Below are 19,154 nucleotides of genomic sequence, written 5' to 3'. Positions count from 1 at the left end.
CTAGGCGGCAGGGGGGATGGGGAGCCTGGTGAAGGGGTGGAGCATATGAGATGGAGAGGCCAGAATGAGCTCCCAAGGAAGGCAGCAGCTTAGTAAAGATGGGAGGGAGGGAGGCAGCCATGTGGAGATGTGGGAGAAGAGCAGTCCAAGCAGAGGCACAGCACATGCAAAGGCCCTGAGGCAGGACCTGCCTGGCCTGTTGAGGAGTATCAAGGAGGCCAGCATGGCTGGAATGTGTCAATGAGCATGAGAGTTGCAAGAGAAGAGGCCTGGTGGCAACAGACTGAGGGGCACATAGAGTCTTAGGAGCCATGGAGTTCTGCTCTTCTATGAAATGGGCCATTGAGGGAATTTAGCAGATAATTACAAACATGAAAGTCCCAAATTATGAGCATATGAGTTTAATCTTCTTCTTTTTTTTGTAATTCGATTTAACCCAATTCTTCTAGTGTGGTGTACTTTTGTATGGGGTTGTATTAGAGTTCTCTAGAGAAACAGCAATAGGAAATACATTTAAATGAGGACATTTATTTTAGGGAATTAGCTCACATGGTTATAAGGCTGACAAATGCAAAGATCTGCATTGAGTTGGCAAGCTGAAGACCGAGGAGAGCCAATAGTGTGGTTCCTTTCCATGTCTGAAGGCTTGATGGTGTAGTTGTAGTGTAGAGGCAGGAAAAAGCCAATGTCCCAATTCTGAAGTAGTCAGACAGGAGGAATTCTCTTACTTGAGAGAATTGAACTCTTTGTTCTATTCAGGTCTTCAACCAATTAAATAAATGTTGATTGTATCCAAAAACATTGTCACGGAAACACTCAGAATAATGTTTGATCAAATATCTGGGCACACTGTGATCCAGTCAAGTTGATGCATAAAATTAACTATTACAAAGACTGTAATAAAGAACACAGATCTCAACTTTGCTGTTTCCTAGTTGCATGACCCCCAGGGACATTACTTAACCTCCTTGAGCCTCAGTTTCTTCATCTTAAAATGGGGACAGAGTTTACTTCATAGGCATTCAACCTGCACAGTCATACTTAGATGGACCCATGCTTGCTTGAATGCTCTGCTGTTGAAATTCTTAATAAATTTTAAATAATTTGTTAATAATTCTTAACAATCTTTAACAAGGGGCTCCACATTTTTATCTTGCATTGTCCCCAACAAATAACGTACCCAGTGCTGAAAAGGATAATATCCTTAACTTCCTCTCAGGGTGCTTGTGAAGGTCAAATAAGACACCACAGGTAAAGCACTCAGCACCTTGCGTGACACAGTACCTGCATCATAAGCCCAGCTGTCATTATTGCTAACAACACGTGCAAGCCGCTACTCAGGGCCAGACCCTCAAGTCCACAGAGATGAACACGACTCCTGCCCTGGGGAATTTGTGGTTTATGGTTCAGGAGTTAATGGATTCAGGTAGAACAGCCTGAGGCAGGCCCATCCAGGTAAAGGCATCCCCCAGGAGGAAGCCTCCTGATTATTCACTCCTGTTGGAAATTGAGGAAGTTGGAAGGGTCCTAGGCAGGGAGCGGTGATGAGGGAAAGGGCCCAGAAGGTCTCAGTAGCTGGGGAAAGAGCTGCATGGAGAGAGGCATGGGAGGTGTGGAAAGGAAGCCCAGAGCTGGGTGCTGATTAGGGACTCTGACCAGCCAGACCCTCCAAGACCACGCCCCACTGGCCTGGAACCTGAGAGACTGAGTGTCTGCTCACTGGCTGTGTCCCCTGAGCAGGCTCCACAGTATCTCTAAGCCCCAGGTCGTCACCAAGTAAGTGGGAGACATGACCCAGATGAGGATGAATGCACACAGAATGATACCCCACAGAGGGTAAAGGTTATTGTACAATCAGGAGCGGGAGGAAGCGGCGTCTGGAATGCCTGAAGATGTGAGGCACCCATGTACCTTAAAGCCTCCACTTTAAATGTCAGGAAACCACAAGGCACTGTTCTCCCCTGTTCACTTAGCAGAGGGGCCCCGACCTAGCTCCCTGGGCTCCTGGCCCCACCTCACACACCCTCCTCTCCAGTCTTTTACCCCACAGGAACTCAGAAGGATTATTTTAAATGGCAAATCAGATCTTATCACTTTGTTCTGCAAAAGCCCCTGGGGCTGTCCATACTTTGAGACTGAAACGCTCACCCCATGTATGCCCCCTCCGCGTCTGTGACCTCACCTCCCACCACTGGCCACTCAGTTACAGCGCTGGGGATGGCTGGCTTTTTCTATGCGTGGAGCCTCTAGTACATGCCGTCTTGGGCCCCTTGTCCTTGCTGTTCCTCTGACTGGAGCAATTCCTGTCCTCCATGGCTTGCTCCAGCACTGCAAATGCCCCTCCTCAGACAGGCCAGCCCTCACCCCAACCCCTCCCCATCTTGAACTTAATGACCATCATCGCCTTTTCACCTGGCTTTGTCATCATTGCATGTATTATGACATGACATATCATTATAGTTCCCTTGTTTGTCTCCCCACCAAAATACAAGCTCCACACAGGTGGATACTTTTATCTTACTTACGTTGTATTGTATCCTCCACACCTAAGATTGTGCCTGCACAGGATATTTCATAAGTGATAGATTCCTGCTTTACAGATACAGAAACTGAGGCTCAATGAAATCACATCCTTTACCAATAACCCACAGCTCTGGAGCTGAGACTGGTCCCTGGGCAGTGGTGTGCTGGCAAATGTCTTAAACCCAGCTCTCCAGGGTAGCGGGAGGTCTTGGTTGCATTTGCTGATGTCCATGGTGTAAATACTTCCACCAGGGCCTACTTCAAATCACCAAGGTGACGTCACTGAATGCGAGGTTCGGAAGGATGCACCCCTGCGCTCTGGAAGGAAGCCAGTGTCAGCCAACTCAGCACCCACTGCCCGGCTACCTCGTGTTCCTTCATCTTCGTCACTCCGCACTTTGAGTGAAATAACTCCTTCTTCGCTTTCCCCTCTAAATCCCACCTACCTCACTCCGCACTTAACACATCAGGTGAAATAACTCCTTCACTTTCCCCCTTCAAATCCTATCTCACATTGAAGAAAACAGTCCGAGCCAAGTCTCTGCATGTCTCTGGGCCTCAGTTTCCCCGTCCATATGGTGGGATGACTTCTAAGCCGTGTCTCTCCGCCATCATCCTTGCCTGAAGTCTGGGAGCCCTGGTCATGCGCACTGCCCCTGTGGACCACCAGGGAGCAGCCTTTCCCCACCAAAGACACTGGCCTCTCCGAGTTCCCGTCGGTGTCCTTCTTGGACACAGCCTGGGTATTGTGGGGCCTTGCCTGGCTTATGAATCGGCGATTGTGCCCAGCCCCGAGCGGGCATCTACAGAAAGGGCCCATTGTCTGCAGTGAGGCTTTTTGTTCCAGCAGTGGCCTGGGGAAACTGGGATTGGGCTGGGGGCCTGACTGGTTCCCAGGGGCTCCTGGTGGGTGTTGGGGTGTGAACCCAGGCGGACCCCTCTCCGCTCTCCCCCGCTGTCCGCCCCGATCCCATCTACCAGGCTGCTGTGCCGGGCACCGCTCACCTGTGCCTCGGCTCTGTCCGAGATTCTCGCCCCTGCAGACCTCCTCTGCCACCCTCTGAGGCCCATAGCACGTGCTCCTTCCTCCAGGCCGGGGTTCCTGTTACTTCCTTTAGCCTCATTCAATCCAACTGCACTTTAAGAGGGTAGGTGTCGGGAGCTGGGCTTCTCCCTGAGATTTTGGCTCCAGGCATTACCGCAGCCCGGTTTTCTTTTCCCTTTCACTGCAGCGGAGGGACGCCCAGGCTTTGGGCGCCGCCTGGGTCTGCAGCAGAGGCAGTGGCCTAACCCTGAGAGGTAGCCCAAGGTCAGGCCAGGGTCTGCGTCCTCCCCTCAGCTCTGCTGTCACAGACGACTGTGAACCCGCGGAGCTCCCATCTCTGGAGCCTGGCCTGGGCCAGCGGCTCACAGTGCTGCGTGCGCAGTGCCTGGCTCAATCCCACCTGCAGCCTGGGAAGTCACAGGGTCACCCAGGGCTCCACGGCCTCCCTGACCACAAAAGGGGAATCGCTGCAGCTCCTGGCAGTGGGCGTGGTCCCCTGTGAGGCTCCGGGGCTTCCAACACCTGAAAATGTAAGCTAAGTGTGTTCTGGGAATGGTGAGGCCTCATCTTACTCTTTTTTTTTTTTTTTTTTTTAACTATCTCTTGCTTCAACCCAGGGCAAGATCTGGAACTGAACCTTCAAAGGAAAGAGGGAGGAGGGTGGGAGGGTGCCTGTCACCTCCCCGAGGGTAGACCTGGGTTTCAGTCCCTGTTCGGCTGGCCATGGGAGTCAGGGATCTCCCTGCTGCCATCTCTGAACCTCGGCTTCCTCTACTGTTAAATGGGGGTTAAAAAGATGCTCTTCTCATTCTGGGGGTGGAGGGAGAGTCAGGATTAGAGCTATTTTCAGTCTCTGACATGTGAAGCTGGGGCTGCATAAGAATCTGTAGGGTATTTTATTAGCAGAAAAATTGTTGTATATAAATGTCATCTGGCTGTACCTAATCCTGTCCTTAGTGCATCAGAAGTGACAGTTAGTACAGGCAAGGAAAGCTCTAGCTTTCCATGACTACTAATCCCACAGAAACTAAAGCAAATTATTCACTGCGGGACAAGAATTTATTGTTAAAACATTTGACCCTGGTGTTTAAAAATATAAGCAGCTTTTTTGGAGGACACTGGTGGGTTTGAAAGTGACCATTTGGGGCAACAGCATGGTGAGTCTCTCTTGGTCCTTAAACCTGAAGCCAAGCCTGCTTTTTCACCTCCTGTGACCCCTGAAATGCCCGTGCGTAAGTGGGCCCAAGATACCCCCGGCAGCCCCTGATGCCCCTGGGGAGGGAGTCGGCCTGTTGATTGCAGCTTCTAGAATTCAGTCTCTTGTATGCTGTCTCTATTATAACACCATGCCTAATGCTGAGATTGCATTTTTCGGGGGCTTTGTTTTTCTAAATTGTTTATCCCCTTGACTCAGGTGAAGAGCAGATGGCATTAGAGAAACTGAGGCAAATGGTCAGTCTGCCATGCTGGGCTGAGGGATGGTGACATGGGGCACCCCTGCCCTGGCCTGGGGCTCAGCCCTCCCAAGACATGCTGGTGCCCAGGCTCCCCCAACCCTGCTGTTCTGGGTGGAACAGTCCTGTGACTTCAGTCAAAGGAGACACACCAAGCATGGCCCCTGGCTCAGGAGGGCTCCCCCCTTGCCCCCCTTCTGGCAGGAGGTCAGGGGACTGCACGGAGGAGCCAGCAACTGCTGGGGCCCCATCTTCCCACCTGGCAGCAGCGTTACCCCCTCCCTACTTCACCTCTCAATGCCTTTATCTGTCAGAGCCCAGAGGAAAAGACCCCGCCTCCATGAGGCCCTCCATGGTCCCATCAGCATGTTTCTGAGAGACACCCTGGTGGATGTCATTGCCCCAAATCTTCTGTTCCATTTAAGATTCTTGGTGGAAACTTAAGGCAAATGTTGGGAGGATACTGGATAGTCCATGATGAAACTGGGCTTCAGAGGGCTGGGAGCTCCTGGGAGTCCACCCACCCTCCTTCTCTGGGTGGCTGCTACAGATTCAAACTCCCAGAGGAGAGTCCATTTGGCCAGTGAGGACCACAGGCCGCCTCATTGTTGAGAGTGGGGCGGTCACAGAGCTGGACAGAACAACACCAACAGGGAGGCAGGGTGCCCCAGGTGAGCCAGGAGGACACACACGCCAGGGTCAGCTAGGCACCCCTTCCCGGGCCTGGGGCTCAGCCCTCCCCGAGGCATGCTGGTGCCCAGGCTTTCGGCGAGCCTGGTGGGGCTGCAGGAATGGAGTTCCCCCTCGGACACCTGAGACGTCACCCGGTTGGGGAGTGTCAAGTGCGGGGCAAACACCTGCACAGGCCAAGGCTCTGGAGGCTACGCCCGCTACCCCCGGATAATGGTGCTCAGAAGAAGTCCAGGAAACTTAACTCTCGCTTGCCTTCCAGTGAACGGGAGCATGGGGTCTGTCCACACTCCCCCACAACACAGGGCGATTGTTGTAGAGCAGAGCTGGACATGCCCCCGGCCCTGTTTACAAGGTGGCATCCAGGGGTCTGCACTGTGTTTCCGGTACACTGGGGCTTGTTCATTTTCAAAGGACCCTCGGAAGGGGAGAATGTTCTCAGCGGTTTATGCTTTCTCGGATGAGCTGTGCATTGCTGCTCCTTTGGGGCTGCAAATCTTTTCAGCCACGAAGACAAAACAGTTCCTCCCGCTTTGTTCTTCTCAACCCTCAAAGAAGCCCCTTTCAGGGTGAGGCTTGTCAGCTGTGTCTTTGGGAACCTGGAATCAGCAGAGGCCTGGGTCACTTCCCCCATGGCTTCTAAGCCTCCAAAGGCCCACAGCATGCGGTTCACACTCTGAGGTTGGCACCAGCCCTGGACCAGGCCCTGGCTCCTCGCCAGCCTCCCTCCTGCCATTCTCCTGTCTCCTGACCTCCCTCTGTACCTGGGGACAACTCAAACCAAGCACTATTCTGCAAAGGTATCTCGGTCCCTGACCCCAGCCCTGGACAGGCACTGCACTGGGCAGGTGCTGGGTGCCCCAGGAGTGTCTCCCCGTGAGTACGTAGTGAGTGCATGGGGACAGTGCAAGCCCCTGGGGCACCTGCGCAGGAGGCAGGTGGAGACGGTGGTTTGCTCATCAGCCCTTGAAGTAAATGTGGAGGTCCATCTCTGGGTAGGAAGAGAAGAGGTTTAAACAGGACAGTTTGAAGCGGTAAATGATGGAATGCGATGACGGAGCAGAGTGATCACCCTCCTTCTCCCCCAGCCAGATGTCTTATGTGGGAGAGAGGATTACACCCCTGGGTGAGTTACTGCCAACTGTACTTCCAAGCAGATTCAAGACCCAGGTTGGCAGGAGCAGGGCACAACCCACAGAAGGCAGCCAGTGTGCTTGGTTCTGGTCCAAGCCCCCATTCCACCTGCCCACTGAGCATCCCTGGGCAAATCAGGTCACTTCTCCAAGTCCAATTTCCTCATCTGCAAAAGGTGCATCTGTCTTGAGGAACTGCCAAAATAATCCACCATGAGAAGGCAGCAAAGTCCACCTGGCCCACGGTTGGGGCTCAACAAATGTCAGATGCATTTTTATGAATTGGAATCTTATTCAAAACAACTGAGAAGGTGCAAAAGGTGGGTGCTTAACTCCAGGTGCACTTTGCCAGTTCTAAAAGTGCCCCGGGTGCCGTCGTTTATTTTATTCAAAATCCTTGATGTGGCCTTGAGCAGGGATTCAGTACAACAGGTCAGAGCTCATACCTGGGAGTCCCATACACTTTCATCCTGAGGCTGCCTCCCCCAGCTCTGTGATCGTGGGCAGTTTTGCCTTGTCAGTTTCAATCCTGTGGTATCCCCTGTGCCCAAGACAGTGCCTGACACACGTAGATATTCAATAAATGTTTGCTGGTTGAATTTAAGTTACTCAACATTACTGGGTCTCCACTTCTGCCTCTGTGAAATAGAAATTATAAAAAACCTGCCTCAAAGGGCTGTTGTGAAAATTAAATGAGATGACCCAGAAAATGCGCACAGCACGCAACTTATTAAAAGCTACCTGACAAGGAGTCAGCTCTGATCTAAGGATCATTCCCCTTGAGTTCATAGAGGCTCTCGGATAACCAGAATCCTCAGTTATGCAGAGCAATCATCACATCCATGAGCTTGTTGCCTCTTCACGAACCACAGGAATTTTACCTTTCAATCGAAACCTCTAGAAACCTATTTGTTAAAATAAAATTCAGTCTGTCTTGGCAAAACCCTAAGAGCATGTGGAGGAGAACACAGAGGCAAGTGTTGGGATGGATATTTGGCCTCAAGTGTAAGGATACGGCCCCGGGGCCCTGGCGAGAGGGCGCACATGCTGGGAGTCTGGGTGGCTGTGACTTGAATTCTCAGAACAGACAGTTCAGGAAAAGCGAGCAAGTCCAGAGATGTTCTCTCCGCCAATATTGAAATTGCCTTTGGAAACTTTTCACAGGCTGCTAAGCCAAGTGAGAGAAAGAAAATTGAGGGTTTATGTATTTTTTAAATCAAAGAATCCTAATTCCAATAAAAAATAATGCCCTTCCATGGCCAATTGCCATCTCCTCAGCTTCTTCGTTTCTTTTTAATAAAAATTTTTATTGTGCACATTAGGTTAACCAGACCTATGCACACCCTCTCTCTGAAACTCTGAGTCACTCAAGGGGAACCACTCCTGGCTTATGCCTGGATTTTGAATCAGGACGGCTCCCTGGGAAAGAAGTCAGTTCATGTGAGCTCTCCAGAGATCAAGTTGGGCAGCTCTTCTGATCAGAAGCTAAGGGACTAAGCATTTTATTTATTTATTATTTTGAGATGGAGTCTCTCTCTGTCACCCAGGCTGGAGAGCAGTGGCGCAATCTCAGCTCACTGGAACCACCACTTCCCGGGTTCAAGCGATTCTGCTGCCTCGGCTGTTTAAAGTAAAAGATGCTGGTTTTGATGGCACTGAAGCCATTGCATGCACTGCCCGCTGGTCCCCAGTTAGATTCCCAAGATCCAAAGTCAGGAGGAAGCTTGGGACCTGGGGGGAGGGAGCTGGGGCTGCACGGTGCTCTCTGAATATATTTTTCATGAGAATATTTCATTTGCATGAGGCAGACAGGAACGGTCTGAATTCTGTGACTGCTACTTGTTGTCCGTGTGACCTCAGGCAAATTAGTTAACTTCTCTGCATCTCAGTTTCATCACCTGTCAAATGTGGAGGAATAATACCTGCCTCCCAGTGTGGTTGGGAAGGTCCAAGCATATGCTATATGTAAAGTCTCTAGCACGGGGCTGCGGGAAGCTGATGATGCCCAATACATGGTGTTAATAAGATGATTATGATCATGATGCATATGAATGTTGTCAGTAGCAAACCCCAGCATTTGTCATCCCTCAAACCATTATTAAGTGTTGGAAGTGGGTGGGTAAGTTCACAGGTGCATCAGCTATTGCTGCATAACAGCCAATCCCAAAATCCAGTGGCTTAAAATGATAATCATTTATTATTTATAGCCATGAGTCAAGGCTGAGGGTTGGGAGATCTCCTCTGGACTCAACTGATTTTGGATGAGTTTGGTTGTGAATCCAAGGGTGTTTGGCTGTTGGCTGGTGTAGGCTGGTCTCATCGAAGGCTACTGCAGCACACCAGTGGTGCAAGAGAGAGCAGGCAGACTATGAACATCCTCTTGAGAGCTAGGCTCAGAACGAGTACACCCTCACACCTGCCACTGGCTATTGGTCAAAGCAAGTCCTGAGGCCAGTCCAGATTCTCAGGTAGGAAACAGGCTCCACCTCTTCAATGTGGGAAACTTCTGTCACAGAGCAGTAAGCGTGGGCACTGAAATCGGTGAGGAACTGCGGCCACTGAGGCAGCCAGCCCCACTGGCTTTGTGGGCCTGAGTAAAATCGAGAGTAAAATCGAGGCACAACCCCAAGGGCTTTGTGGGCCTGAGTAAAATTGAGGGTATCCTGTGAAAGCTTGGCCTTTCCAGCATCAATCATGCAGAGATCTGTGCCTCTGCAGAGCGCCTGCTTGACACCAGCCCCTGCTCCACCCATGGAGGCCTTTCCTGGGGCTTCCGGGCCTTGAGGGGCCAGGCCTATAGCACTTTTCAGAGGTACAGAGTGTTTTTTGGGACAGGAGCTAAGCCATGGCTGATCCAGAGAGCCAGGTGTTGGCCACAGAGGCTAAGTTTCCTCGAAGCCCCTGAGCCTTTGGCCAGTGACCGCTCTATTCTGCTGGGTGTGTAGTGAAGGGTGGGGCAGAGTCAGCAGCCTCCAAGGTTGGGGGAGGTGGCTCTGGCTGTGTGACACAGTCACAACAAATATCCCTGAAGTCCTGCCACTGTCCGAGCCTTATCTCTGCCTCCACACACTGACAGAAGCACTCCCTCCCTGCAGTGCCCTTCAAGGTGGCCAACAGCCTGGTGGCCTCATCTACAGCACTTACCTGGTTCAGCAGAGAAGCTGGTTCTCTATGGTCATCCAGCTACAAGGACTGCACCTCCCTCAAAGGGACTGTAAGGGATGCCCCCAGCCTCCTCATACAACTGTGACTGTCCTGGTCTTCATTCACTGACACAACCAAAGCTGAGACCTTCCATAACCAGACAGCAGGCTCTTGGTCACCTGTAGATCCTGGAGGGCTTCAAGGGACAAACATGGTGGCAAATGTGGGGCATCTTCAAGAGAGGACCACACTGTGAAGGGGACATGCAGCTGTGGCTGCAGATTTGCCTTGTCATGGGGCGAAGGCACATGCAGTGTGGGGGCTTTTTAAAAATCTGAGAGTCAGCCGGGCGCGGTGGCTCACGCCTGTAATCCCAGCACTTTGGGAGGCTGAGGCGGGCAGATCATGAGGTCAGGAGATCGAGACCATCCTGGCTAACACAGTGAAACCCCGTCCCTCTAAAAATGCAAAAAAAAAAAAAAAATAGCTGGGCATGGTGGCGGGCGCCTGTAGTCCCAGCTACTCTGGAGGCTGAGGCCGGAGAATGGCGTGAACCCAGGAGGTGGAGCTTGCAGTGAGCCGAGATCATGCCACTGCACTCCAGCCTGGGCGACAGAGTGAGACTCCGTCTCAAAAAAAAAAAAAAAAAATCTGAGAGTCAAGAGAGCAGAGTGGCTTTGGGGCCAGACAGCCATTGGATGTGGGCTCAGCCACCATTCACCAGCTGTGTGACATGGCTGAGTCAGTCATGGAAATGGGAGTATGAGATCACCTACCTCCTACAGGAAGTGGGGTACCTTGAGGACAGAATGGGCACACAGCTCTGGGCACAGATAAGGCGGCTGTGAAACGGTCAACGTTACCATTGCCAACCCAAGGGGAGGCAAGAAGAAGCCATGGAAACCTAGGGGCCTCCTGAGAACGTTTCTGTCTTCTCGGGAAACAGGGCAGTGTATTTTGTAGACTTGCGCTCCTTCCTGAACTCTGTTTCTGTCCTTGTCCCTGGATTAACTCTCCACCCAGCAGCCAGAATGACTTTTAGGAAGCCAAGTCAGCTCACGCCACCCTTGTGGTCAAAACCTCCCAGTGACCTCCCAATGTCAAGGCACTTAGAATAACATTCCCATTCCTTCTGATGGCCTGTACGATGGCCCTGTCACTCTCCTCCTCCTCTGCTCCCCTTCCCTTGCTCACCTGGCTGCAGGTCAGGGCTCCTTGCTGCTCCCTGAAACTGCCAAGCTCATTCCTTCCCTCTGCATGGCCTTTGCCCGGCTGATCCTCCCCATCCCTGCCTGGCATGCTCTCCCCTCGGAACATGGCGTGGCTCACTCTTGTACATCCTTCCGGTCTCTGCTCAAACATCACTGTTGGGACAAGTCTTGTCTAACCCCAGCCCTGTCATCACCTCGAACCCCATCCAGCTTAGCTTCAGTCACAGTGTTTCACTTTCAGAAATGATACATCTATAGTCGATTGTTTGAACGATTTTTAACTATGGCAGGGGATTTCTCTTGTTCCCTAGTGCTAGGATGATGCCTGCCACACAGGAGGCCGACAGCTGGACACACGAGTCTGTAATATGAGGCTTATAGGTTCTTTGAAGGCTCAAAGGGCTACCTCATCTAACCCTTACAGGGATCCTCTAATACAGAAAGAATAGTAGTCCCATTCTACAGATGAGGACAGCAAGGCTTAGGAGCTGACACAACTTGCCCGGACCACAAGACTAGTGGATCCGAGACAGGAACCCGGTCCCCTGGCTCAGGCTTAGTGTTCTGCCCAGTGCCTCCTGGGTGTGCCTGCCTGTGTGAGGAATGCCTGGCGGCTGCCAGAGCCAACCCGCCTCCAGGGCCCAAGGCCAGGTGCACTCCCAGGTTTGCCCACTACAAACAAAGGGAGACTTTGGGTGCCAGTTGTTTTAGGACCCTGGGAATCACAAGAGCAGTTGTTGTAGACGATGCAGCAGGCACTCCCAGTGAGCACATTATATGGGGGTTGTCACGGTCACAGGGAGCCGCATCATTTACATGCTAATGACAGAGCCGGTGCAGGAGACCCGGGTTGGAGCGGGATGGTACCCACCAGAAATCGCACACTTTGTCTTATGGCCATTTCCATTTTCACAAATTCTGAAACTAAAACAGGACTTTTCTCTTACTTGGAGCAGATGTTAATTTGCAATGCAGAAGCCTCCATTTGTCGATGATTTTCCATTATCCCTATAATTGCCCCCACATACAGTGCTCGATAAAGTTTTAAACCTGTCCTCTGGGAACACCAAGTCAATAATGGGATCATTGATTAGGTTGTGAAAATGGTCTCCTAGCACTAGGAAGATTCACTGCGGAATCCTGGGACAGGGGCCTTGATGTGGCTGTTTCTGTCCCGTGCCTTGGGTCTCCCTGGATCTGCAGATTAGGAAGGGGCCGAGGCAATCAGAGGCCATGTTTTTACTGAAGATGAGCCTGGGAGGCAATTGGACACCAGAAGACTTTTCCAAGCATCTGTAGCCACCGCCCCCCAAAAAAGTGCTTTGGTGGCCCTGGAGTGGGTCACTGTAGTTTATGTGTGGCAAAGACACCCTCTGGTTTCTAGCTGTGTGACCTTGGGCAAGTCACCTACCATCTCTAAGCCTCAGGTTCCTTGTGTGTATGATAAAGGAAATAATAACGCCTTTGCCTATCTCCCAAGGGGGTTGGGAGGATGAAAGGACAGAAATCAAAGATGTGCTAAATGCATTTGCAGACTCTGACACACATTCTGTGCTAGCTGATGTGGTTAGCTCTTTGAAACTTGAAGTGAACTTTCCAGGTTACAGTTTGCGGGATCTGCCTTCCTGATGTCAGTAACTGACATTTTAACAAGCATTACTAAGCACTTCCCATGGTGCAGACACTGCGCAAGGGAAGGACTGAAGAAACAAAGCTGATTAAAACATGGGCCTGTCCTCAAGGAGCTCCCAGCACACAGAGAGGAAGCAGGTCATTGCCATAAGTCATGCTCAGTATCCTGTCAAGACCAGCCCAGGATCAGGGAGCCTGAGAAGGCCAGGGGAGGGGAGACTTTAGGCTTTCAGGATGGAATGACTACAGTGTGAAAAATGCCTATGAGTATGATTATTATTACCTCCACTTTACAGACTATATAGAATCAAGTCTCTGAGAGTTAAGTTATATGACAAATGAAGGATGAAGTTGGCCTTGAGCTAGGGTGACCAACAGTCCTGGTTTGTCTTGGACTTACAGGGTTAAAAATAGTTAAGTTCCAGGAAAACGGAGATGATTTGGTCACCCCACTTTGAGTTATGCCCGACTCTGTGGTCTTATCACTGCTCTGCTCAAAGCACAGGGACAGGCTGTTTCTGTTGGCGAAACACCTTGCTGAGCTGTAGTTCCCTGTTGGAGGTTCAAGGCCAATCTCGGTGTATCTGTATATTGTTGCTCTAATACCTAATACCTTTCTACATCCTTCCAACATCCTAATCTCAGTGCTGGTTGGAGGAGGGAAGCACAGAGGCTATAGGCTTCAATTATGGGAAAATAGGGGGTTGTAACTTGCCCAAGGTCACAGGCTGAGATGGGGCAGAATGGGGATGCCAAGTTCAGCACTCTTGCCCTTTTGTCCTTGTTCTCCACCTTTGGTGAAGGCCTCCTGAGAGCACCATAAGAAATACAAGCTTCTATTTGAGTTTGTGTGAGATACTGTTTGGGTTTCCCATGAGTTGCTGGCTCAGCACTTGATTGGCATGTGAGCAAGCCAATGAGATTGAAGTGAGAGCTGGCTGGGTGGGCCACTCAGAGTGGTAGGCAGAATTGGCAGTTAAGGAAAGAAGCAGAAATGTATAAGTTTCCATGTGCTTCTCAGGGGCCAGGCTTCCTCAGAACCCTTCCCTTCCAGCTTGATTCGCTGTTATGATCCAACAGCGACATTGTGAAAGGCAACACCAGACATTGTGAAAGACATGACTAAGAGGTGTGCTAGACGGCACAGCTCTTTCCGGGGCACCCTTTTGGATCCATGTATCTCAGAACAAGTAGTTCCTCTGGAACCCACCAGGGGAGGGCTATTCTCTGTTAGGAAGACAACTGATGGTGTGGCCAGAAGAAACAAGGAAAAGCCCTGGTCTAACTTCTCTGCATTCTTCTTACTCCCATAAAGCAGGATGGCCTTCAACTCAGAATCGCAGGCTATTCCAGCAGGATGGAACCCTTGGCCTCAACATCATGGGATGGTTGAAGACATGAAAGTCCTGTTTTGCCCCTTCCAGTTTCTTGGTCACCCCCTAAAACCATACGGTTGAGAAATAAAGGAGACGAGGATGTACTGCATTCCCTTTTCCTCTCATTGCTATCTAGCATGGTTGAAAGCACTGCTTCTTACTTGCTAAAGCCCTTTAGGAAGTTTCCACACTTACGGCCTTAGGCCCTAAAGCAGCAGGCCATTTGCAAACTTTAGTGTTTATCAGCATCACTGCTGATTTTGAACACAGACTTCTGGGGCCTACCAGCTATGTTTCTGACTTAGTAGGTCCAGGTGAAGCCTGAATTCCCAGGTGATGTTGTTGGGGCTGGTCAGGGACTACACTTTGAGACTCATACTGCTCCAGGCTATTCCATGACAAATGCTTTCACCCCTTTGGAACCTCACTTTCCTCAGCTGTCAAAGAGGGCCAGTACTGACTTAGCAGGAGCATAAGCTGAGTTATAGGAGATGACAAAGGGGGAGGGCATCTTCTTGTGCCTGGTACTCATAGCAGAGTCTCAACTATTGTGAAAGTCCCTTCTTGCTGGACCCGGAAGAGTTTCTTCTCACAATCCAGTGATAAAGTAGGTAAAATGTCTTCTTTGTCCAATGCTCAAGTTTAATAAATGGAGGGCTTGTCACCATGCAAAGGAGGCTGTGAGATCCTGGCAAAATAATTACTGGAGAATTTGTGGGAGGCAGCAACATACGGATGCTCAAAAGCACTTTGAGCCTCCTTTTTCTGAGTCCTCCCTGGGAGGTGCTGGTAGAAACGGCTATCAGCAAACATGATCTTTGCACCATGGCCAACGTGGGGTTAAGTCAGTCTGCTCAGTCTTCCATCTCCCCTCCTCCGGGTTTTTCTTACTCTCGCTCACACCCACCCCCAACCACTCCTGCTTTCTCTTCCAGGGCAAGTTTAATAAGCTAGTATCAAAACCATCTAGGCTTGGAGCTTTCAAAGATTTAAGACTTTTAAATGTGAAGCACCTCATTATATCCGACTATTTTCAATAAAAAAGACCTGATAAGTCATTGATATGACACCCGTTATCAGTGGGATTTGTTTGACGTCGATTTGAAATGTGCACTGCTTGCTTTTGGGGGTAATGGAATCAAACACTTAGGAGCTGCACGGTGCAAGTAGATCACTTTTCAAGTAAGAACATTAACATGGAGAGAGACTTTGTTTGGGGGTTTATAAAAATAAAGCAGTATTGTACAGTATGGCATATAGCAGTGGCTACATGGACAATTGACTTCCTTCCTATTAATCAACTACAATGTTTACCTTCTTACTCCAACCATTTCCAAACCATTAAAACTAAGAGGATTAGCATCGCATTTCTGCCAAGGTGTATTTTTATTTCAGCAAATACTACTTTCGCTCTCGGAGGAGATTAAAAGCCTGAAAGAAACGGTTTCTTTATCTGGCATACTGTGTCATACAGGTAAAAAAAAAAAAAAAAAAAATCCTGTTAAAAGAATACAGTGTCCTTGTCCAGAGAAAGCTGATTGTGAAAAGAGTTAAATTTCTGGACAAACAACATAAATTGTGAAGAATAATCCAATGTCAGGACTGAGTATTTCTTGCCCTGTAAACAGTGCTTATGAAAGCATCATTTAGGAACCAGCAGAGAAGTGGTTACCTTCCCTGTGGTTAGGGTTGCTGAGCCATGTTTCTAAGGGAGCTTTTAAAAATATGTAAACCCTGGAGTTGAAATAGGATGAGTTCCATTTATGTAGATTTGCCTACTTACATTATTCCTGAGATGTTCAAGACATATTGTTTTCTACCTCCTTCTTTTTAAAAATCTGTTAATTTTTAATAAACCTATATTAGTCCATTTTTATGCTGCTGATAAAGACATACCCGAGACTGCAATTTACAAAAGACAGAGTTTTTTTTTAATCTTACAGTTCCGCATGGCTGGGGAGGCCTCACAATCATGGCAGAAAGCAAGGAGGAGCAAGTCCCATCTTACGTGGATGGCAGCAGGCAAAAAAGAGAGAGCTTGCACAGGGCAGCTCCCGTTTTTAAAACCATCAGATCTCATGAGACCCATTCACTATCACAAGAACAGCACAGGAAAGACCCACCCCATAATTCAATCATCTCCCACCTGTTTCCTCCCACAACACATGGGAATTATGGGAGCTACAAAATGAGATTTGGGTGGGGACACAGAGCCAAACCATATCAAAACCCAACTTGCAAAATTTACCATTGCATCATTTGCACTGCCAAAAGCGCCCTTTAAAATTGTGTGTTCTCTCTGTCTTAAGTTTGTTGTTGCACAGTTTATAGTTATCTTAAAGGTCTGCACAAGTGGTTTTTGCAAAGTGTGCTCTCTGGACCAGCAGAATAAATATCATCTGGGAATCACCACAAATGTAAAATCCAAAGCCCGATTCTAAAGCTGAATCAGAAACTTGGGACAGGGCCCGGGAATCCCGCCTGGGAATTCTGGAGTTTAAGAACCACTGATCTAGGGCTAATTAATTCTCTCTGCTATAGTCTGAATTGTGTCCCCTCAGCATTCACATGTTGAAGCCCTACTCCCTAATATAACTATATTTGGAGACAGGATCTTTAAAGGTGAGGTGAAAATTAAACTGAGGTGAAGTGAGGTCATAAGGATGGGGCCCTAACCCATTAGGACTGATATTCTTATAAGAGGGAGAGACACGAGGGATGCATGCATACTGAGAAAAGGTCATGCAAGGATACAGGAAGAAGATGGCCTTCTGCAAGCCAAGAAGAGAGACCTTAGGAGAAACCAAGCCTGCTGACACCTTGATCTTGGAATTCTAGTACTCAGAACTCTGAGAAAATAAATATCTCTTTTCTACGGCATCCAGCCTGTGGTGTTTTGTATGGCAGCCCTGGAAAACTAACATAATCTCCTATGTCAAAGAGTGAGGCCTAGAGAGAGGTATTAACTTGCCAAAAGTCACATATTCTGTTAGTAACAGAGCCTAGGCTAAAATCAGTAAAGAGTGAATCAGAAATAAAATGCAGGCAAGTCTCACTCCAACAAGGTAATGTAAACACTAATGTGCAAAAAAAAAAAAATTTAAGTTTAGAAAGAGAATGATATGATTTGTTGGTGTCCCCACCCAAATCTCATCTTGAATTACAGCTCCCATAATTCTTAGTAGTAGTTAATGGAATCATGAAGGTGGATCTTTCCCGTGCTGTTCTTGTGATAGTAAGTAAGTCTCATGAGATCTGATGGTTTTATAAAGTGAAGTTCCCCTGCACATGCTCTTTTGCCTGACACCGTGTAAGACGTGACTTTGCTCCTCCTTCACCTTCCACCATGATTGTGAGGCCTCCCCAGCCATGTGGAACTGTCTTTCCTTTACAAATTACCCAGTCTCAGGTGTGTCTTTGTTAGCAGCATGATAACTGACTAATACAGAGGAAACAGCAAGAGAATATTTCCATAATAAAAGGCTTAACCTCAGGACTTCTTTAAATAGTTTCAGTCACCAAAGGCATTGTTCCAATTTGCAAATAAATTGATTTGCATAGAGCTATTTATGACCATATTGACATAAATTGAAGTGCACATATATAGGGACACACATGGTCAGTGTCAGGCCAAGCATCCCCTTTTGAAACATCAACAACCTATGACAGAAGGCCATTGCCAAAGTCTCTTAAAGAGGGTCCTATAATAAATATCCCCTAAGGGGGAAATGTTGAACAAGAATGCACTTTCCATGGCTCATCAATACTGGACATTTTCATCTTATTTTTAATCTTTACTAATTTGATAATCAATAAATCATATCTCAATGTTGTTAACATCTTATATCCTTTCTTTTTTATATAGATAATTATAAAAGTAATGTATTCATACTTTCAAAATTCTGGAAATTACAGAAAAGTATAAAGGAGGTATTAAGAATTAATAATTCTACCAACCAGGTAAGTCCACTATTTACATTTATGTATTTTCTTCTAATATTTTTTCTGGGCACATTTTAAACATATTTAAGGTCATACTATACCTAAAATGTTATACCATGATTTTTTTTTCATTTTACAATAAAGACAGTATTTTATTACACAAAGAACTCTTTGCAAGATTAGATATTTCTGAAAAAATAGTAAGTTAGAAGACAAAATAAAATCAAGAGATGAAAAATACTTAAAAAATTAACAAAGCATCAGTGAACTGTGGAACAATGTCAAGGGGCCAAATATACATGTAATTGGAATCCCTGAAGGAAAGGAGAAAGAAAGGGACTTAAAAATGTTTGAAGTAAAAATATCCAATATTTTTACAGTGTGAAAACTATGAACCCGTAAATACAAGAAGCTCAATGAATCACATGCAGAAGAAACATAAAGAAAATTAGACTTCATCATATATTCAAATTGCTCAAAATCAACAATAAAGAGAAAACCTTAAAAGCAGCTAGAGAAAAAAAGACACAATGTGTCCAGAAGGATAGAGATTGGGGTGATAGCTGATTTCTCATTGAGAACCATACAAGCTAAAGATAGTGAAGCACATCTTTAAAGTACTGAAAGAAAAAAATGACAACTTAGAATTCTTTATCCAATAAATATATTTTTCAAACTTTCAGGCAACAAGGTCTTTTGAAGACGTACCAAAAAAATCAATTACCACTAGACTCCAACTACAAGAAATATTCAAGAAAGCTTTTTAAGCTGAAGAAAAATAATACTAAATAGAAACATGGAGCTACACAAAGGAATGAAGAGGACCAGAAATGGAGGCTACATTGTCAAGCATAAATACTTTCTCTTATCATTTAAGTATCTTTAAAAGATGGTCAATTGTGTAAAGCAAAAATGATAGGAATGTACTCTGGGGCTTATAAAATATTTAGAAGTAAAATGTATGACATAATAGCATAAAGGCCAAATGAAAGATCCTTTTGGAC

At 47.8% G+C, this 19,154-nt stretch overlaps 2 long non-coding RNA genes across 11 annotated transcripts in view, besides 4 other annotated features; one reads left to right on the top strand and one right to left on the bottom strand.

Annotated features, from left to right (window-relative positions):
• Nucleotides 1-508: 508 nt before the first annotated feature.
• The window catches only part of LINC02641 (long intergenic non-protein coding RNA 2641), a 214,291-nt gene continuing 195,645 nt past the window's right edge, over nt 509-19,154 (bottom strand). For 9 of the 10 annotated variants that reach the window (XR_007062326.1, XR_002957104.1, XR_002957105.1 and 6 more), the window contains 3 exons: nt 9,990-10,185; nt 2,526-6,311; nt 509-894 (listed from right to left, as the gene is read on the bottom strand). This is a non-coding gene — a long non-coding RNA (long intergenic non-protein coding RNA 2641). Of the gene's footprint in view, nt 895-2,182; nt 2,394-2,525; nt 6,312-9,989; nt 10,186-19,154 lie in introns of those variants that run through there. The other variant, XR_946391.3, reaches the window with a different exon arrangement.
• Nucleotides 3,657-4,375: an enhancer, noted in NCBI's record as "H3K4me1 hESC enhancer chr10:125317863-125318581 (GRCh37/hg19 assembly coordinates)". NCBI's record gives its function as "activates a minimal SCP1, AML or CMV promoter by ChIP-STARR-seq in primed H9 embryonic stem cells {active_cell/tissue: H9 hESC(primed)}" and the evidence as "EXISTENCE:reporter gene assay evidence [ECO:0000049][PMID:30033119]".
• LOC105378530 (uncharacterized) lies at nt 4,032-18,962 on the top strand. The gene is made up of 3 exons (XR_946395.3): nt 4,032-4,098; nt 18,074-18,168; nt 18,834-18,962. It is a non-coding gene; the product is annotated as an uncharacterized LOC105378530 (long non-coding RNA).
• Nucleotides 8,959-9,018: an enhancer, noted in NCBI's record as "active region_4161". NCBI's record gives its function as "activates an Ori minimal core promoter by ATAC-STARR-seq in GM12878 lymphoblastoid cells {active_cell/tissue: GM12878}" and the evidence as "EXISTENCE:reporter gene assay evidence [ECO:0000049][PMID:35858748]".
• Nucleotides 11,292-11,801: an enhancer, noted in NCBI's record as "H3K4me1 hESC enhancer chr10:125310437-125310946 (GRCh37/hg19 assembly coordinates)". NCBI's record gives its function as "activates a minimal SCP1, AML or CMV promoter by ChIP-STARR-seq in primed H9 embryonic stem cells {active_cell/tissue: H9 hESC(primed)}" and the evidence as "EXISTENCE:reporter gene assay evidence [ECO:0000049][PMID:30033119]".
• Nucleotides 11,802-12,312: an enhancer, noted in NCBI's record as "H3K4me1 hESC enhancer chr10:125309926-125310436 (GRCh37/hg19 assembly coordinates)". NCBI's record gives its function as "activates a minimal SCP1, AML or CMV promoter by ChIP-STARR-seq in primed H9 embryonic stem cells {active_cell/tissue: H9 hESC(primed)}" and the evidence as "EXISTENCE:reporter gene assay evidence [ECO:0000049][PMID:30033119]".

The sequence above is a fragment of the Homo sapiens genome, chromosome 10 (assembly GCF_000001405.40).
Source record: "Homo sapiens chromosome 10, GRCh38.p14 Primary Assembly".
NCBI lineage: Eukaryota > Metazoa > Chordata > Mammalia > Primates > Hominidae > Homo > Homo sapiens.
The sequence above is the reverse complement of the archived record's forward strand: the minus strand, read 5'-3'. Positions and strand labels throughout refer to the sequence as shown.